Below are 4814 nucleotides of genomic sequence, written 5' to 3'. Positions count from 1 at the left end.
ATGTGAAGGTCCTGAATTTTTTTTTTTTTTTTTTTTTTGAGATGGAGTCTCGTTCTGTCCTCCCAGTCTGGAGTGCAGTGGCATCATCTTGCCTCACCACAAGCTCCGCCTCCTAGGTTCATGCCATTCTCCTGCCTTAACCTCCCAATTAGCTGGGACTACAGGCACCCACCACCAAGCCCGGCTAATGTTTTTTGTTGTGGTTGTTGTTGTTGTTGTTTGTATTTTGTATTTTTAGTAGAGATGGGGTTTCACTGTGTTAGCCAGGATGGTCTCAATCTCCTGACCTCATGATCCGCCCACCTCAGCCTCCCAAAGTGCTGAGATTATAGGTGTGAGCCACCGCGCCCGGCCCCTGAAATTCTAATATACTGCTGGTGGACATGTAAAAAGAGAATAAGAAAAGGAAAGACAGTGGTACAACCACTGTCAGAAACAGTTTGGCAGTTTCATAAAAAGCTAAACATGTACCTACTACACTGTATGATCCAGGTTTCCTTGTCTAATGCCCATTGTCTTGGAGACCACTGTTTGATATGTTTGTTCTAGTGTTTTTTATTTTTTAATTTTCTGCACAGGAGGACAAACCCAGTTTCTGTTACTCCATTCTATTTGAAAGTGTAAGTCTGTGAGAAGTTTTAAGAGACAGATCATTATCTGCAGGGCATGCACACATCTGCTAATAAACTGCCTGATAGCTTCCCACAGGCCACCAAAGCCACACATGGGTTTTCCCTCCTGACTAACCTGGGTGCTTTTCTGTCTAAATTCAAGGTCCTGTCCAGTTTCCTATAAGAGATTTAGTCATAGCCCTCAGATTTCACACTGGGGACTGCACTTCAGTTCAATAACAATGTCCTGAGCCCGTGCTCTATGGTAGATTCTGTGCCATGGACTTGGTAATAGAGACAGGAATCGATCACGGTCCTCATACGTGGAAACAGACATGCAGGAATTCCAGGTCAATCTGGGGACCCAGTGAGAGAAGTGTGACAGGGATGTTGAGGGCCAGGGGCGCAGCATGCCAGGGAGAGGCTTTTCTCTGCCTTGGGTCTCCGCCCCGCGTCTGTGCTTGGCCCCATCTTAAGCAGTGCTGGTAGCACACATCATAGCCCAACCCATGCCCACTGGGTTTGTCAGAGTCCAACACTAGAATTCGACCAGATGCCCATCTCCTTTTAATCAACAATTCTATAAATACGTATTATAAGTTATATTTTATGTTAAGAGAAATTTATGCTCAGAAAAAAACTGATTTTGTCACTCTTCTAAGCAGTGGTGAAAATTTAGGTGAAAAATTAGGTATTTGCATGTTCCACAAAAATCTGCTTTTCCATTGCATACTGGACATCCAAAACACAAAACACAGGTACTAGAACACCTGTGCTTTTGATTAATGCAAGTTTTAGTCATATTATTAATGAATCCAGCTGGATGGAAAATAATGGAATTATGCCCATGTATCTCCCTTCTGTGGTCTTCCTAACTTGATTCCTCCAGATTGCTTTTACTACCTTGGACTTAATTTTAGAATTTAGCATGTTTTGAAAGAGCCCCCCACCCCACCCACATCTTTGTGTCCACATGCTGTCAGAGTGATGCAATGCTACTGTTCTCCACCGTTGGTTAATGTAAAATGTTACCCCTCCCCCTGCTCTTCTTCCAACCACCCCTTGAAACAAATGTCTGGGCTTCTATTCATTTCATGTGTTCTCATCCTTTCTCTGGTTAGGCAGCCTTGTGTATGATTAATACATTTGGTTTTCTTATTTGCTAAATCACTATGTTTAGCATGCTCATTTCATGGCAGGACGGAGTGGCCTGGAGGGAAGTTTGTATTTCACTTAGTGAGGACAGAGGCAGATGAAACTGCTCAGAAATTTATTCTCTAATTATGAAGGTAAGGGGGAAAGCTTCTCACCCCAAACTCTAGCCGTTATAGCCCCCATGGTTTAGAATAGTCACACACTAGTTCCCTGGAAGCCAACAGTGAGAGCAGCCCACTTATTCATTGCTCAAATGACTCTGTGAAATAGGCACCATGATTATTCCTTTATTAAAGTGAGGAGACACAAGGTTGGGGGTCACACAGCTAGCAGGCGATCAACATGACACTTGGCTCCCCAGTGTGAACCTCACCCCTACCTAAAAAGGAACCCGTGGATCCAATGACCAGGCAGACCCAAGGTCTCAGTTACAGGATGGGAAGGAAGTACCTGGCTCTTAAGGTGAAGACAACACTTCTTGCCATGAACCACAATGCCCCATGCAGTGGCCCCTGCAGACCGCCCTCCACCACCTTTGCTGATTGGCCTTCATCACGTCACTCTTTCTTCCTCCCTCTGCTCCAGCCTCCAGCACCTTCTTGCCACTCCAGTCCCTGACTTCAAGACCTGAACCTCTTCCCTTTTAGCAGTGTTGTGTGCACTGCTCCCACTGCCTGCCCTTCTTTCTCTTTCTCCTCCTACCTAATTATCTTCTCATTCCCGCATCTGACTCACAGCTAGCCTCTTCCCATGCTGCCCTCGACCCCTTGCTTTCCTCTGAAGCACTCATCTTCTTTGGTGATCAGGCACTACATACAAATAAGTGTATTTGTGAGTATCCTGTGAATGTCTCACTTGTCCACTAATCTACAGGCTCCATGAGAAGGCAGAAGACATGGGAATTCTTCTCAGCATGGTGTCTCCAGCACCTTCCATGGCAAGTAGAAGACGTTCAAGAGAAGGGCTGCCTACGCACTTGGTAGAAACAGCACGAGCTCTGGAGCTAAGCAGACCTGAGTCTGAAGTGCTGCTTTGCCGCTTCCTACCTGTGAGGTCTCCGGAGAGTTGCATGATGTCTGGGGCCTGTTGACTCCCATGAAGTGGGGACAACAGCCATCAGAAATAAAGGTTCCCAGGAGACAGTGACATGTCTCCCCAAAGGTTCTGAATGTGCCACCTACACATGGCAGACCCTCAGTAAATGGCACAAGATGCAGCGAAGTGGTTGTGATCAAAAGGGAAGGTGATTTGCTTCTCTTGCTTCCCCTTTATCCTCATGCAGTGGAGCCGTTTCCTTTGCCACCACTGGGAGGGCCTGAGCTATTCCTGTCACTCTTTGTTAATGAGATTCCTCACAGTCACTGCAAGTTGGCTGACGCTGTCTATTTCAGTAACTAAAAATTTACAATCTCCTGTATTAATCAAAACTTATAACTCTATTTTAAAATAAGGCGCCTTCTCAGTTCCCTCTCAGGAGGGTTGCAGAGGGGCATCCTGCCATCCTAGGTCCTGGGGCGAGGCATGGTCCCATTTCGGTCCCGTTTGCCTCTCCTTCCCCTCACCTTCACCCACCACCTTGCTGAGAAAGGGGTGTGGAGAGGGGAAGGAAAGGAGGCAGGGATGCTCTTTCCTGAGTGCCATAGTGGAAATTGGCCTTGTGCTCTGTGCCTGGAAGATATTTAAGTGGAGTCTCTCCTTGAAGCTCTCATTCGGACTCTACTGCCACCTCACTGACACTGGCGTCTGGTGTGGGGTGTCCTTGACCCACATGAGTCCACACTGGAACCCACGGGTGTGCTTTCTGTTTGCTCACTTCATTTTCAGCTCCTGCTGCTCACAGGATGCATTTCCAGCATCTTCACTGAGACATGTTCACCTGCACCCTCACCCACAACGGCCTGTTAGAAAGGGTCAAAGGAAACCTGATTTTCTATTTTAATCCTTTTTGTCTGCGTGGGGAATGGGACTCACATACTCCAGAAGCTCTCTCAAATAAAAAATCCTTTACAGAAGGTGGCTGTAATCCCAGACGATCTGACCTTGTATCCTCTCTATGTGAATGAGTGGCTTCCAGGGTCGCCTAACCAGAGCTCTTCCTAAGGCCCACATGTGCTCTGACAGCCCCTTTGGAAGGACCGCATGTGTTCTACTGCAGAAGCTCAGCAGACACTTCCACTCTAGCAAGGCAGCATGTGCAAGGGGCCCTGCTGTGTTCTGGCAGGGTGTGCGGGTGTGGAGACACACACATGAAAAGGGTCTGCCCTTTCTTTACCCTCGGGGTGCTGACGGAGTGGGCTCCAGCCCAGACAGGGAGGGTGGGGCCACTCATCAGAGAATAAAACCCAGAGACAATGACTTAAATTTACTTGGTTTTGGTTAGATCCTGTTTCCCAACCCTCCCTAACATTTCATTCCTAACCTCCACTATTAACAAATCATCCCCACTAACACCAACACACACACAAGCCATGCACCTGCGAATCACCGCAGTCCCTAGCCAAGGAGGCGGGACACTCATTTCTCGGACCCCCAGGTCTCCTAAGTGCTGCCTACTGGACCCCGACTTGGCTAGAGAGGGGGACATGTCTTCTCTTCCCCATGGGGAGGGGAGGAAGAAGCCAAAGTGCTCTCGTTTTATTTTTTCAAGATTAGTCATTTCTTTGATTACTTAGTTTCTAATATTCATGAGGATAAAATAAAAAAAGTGTAAAAATGAATATTTGTATGTCCTGGGACAAGATGATGGAGATGCCTTTTCCACAGTTCTTCCTCTAAGCACTGTGAAAATCCCTGGGAATAAGTAAGTAGGCAAATATGAAAGGTCTCTGAAAGATAAAGAGAAGAAGGTAGAGTGCTGCAGACCTTAAGGCTCGAGGATCAACACTGCGGTGGGTCCCTTGGCTTTTTAAAACTTTCCTGTACATGCCAGACTATGCTCCAGTGAGTCCTGCAAGCTGGAACTGCTAGCAGGTGTGGGCAAGAACATCAAACCAAAAAGGCTGCTCTCTCTGGCCAAAGGATCAGGAAAGGGACAGACCAGCTGCAGAG

This window comes from Homo sapiens, chromosome 2 (assembly GCF_000001405.40).
Source record: "Homo sapiens chromosome 2, GRCh38.p14 Primary Assembly".
NCBI classification, from domain to species: Eukaryota; Metazoa; Chordata; class Mammalia; order Primates; family Hominidae; genus Homo; species Homo sapiens.
This window is presented reverse-complemented; position numbering follows the sequence as displayed.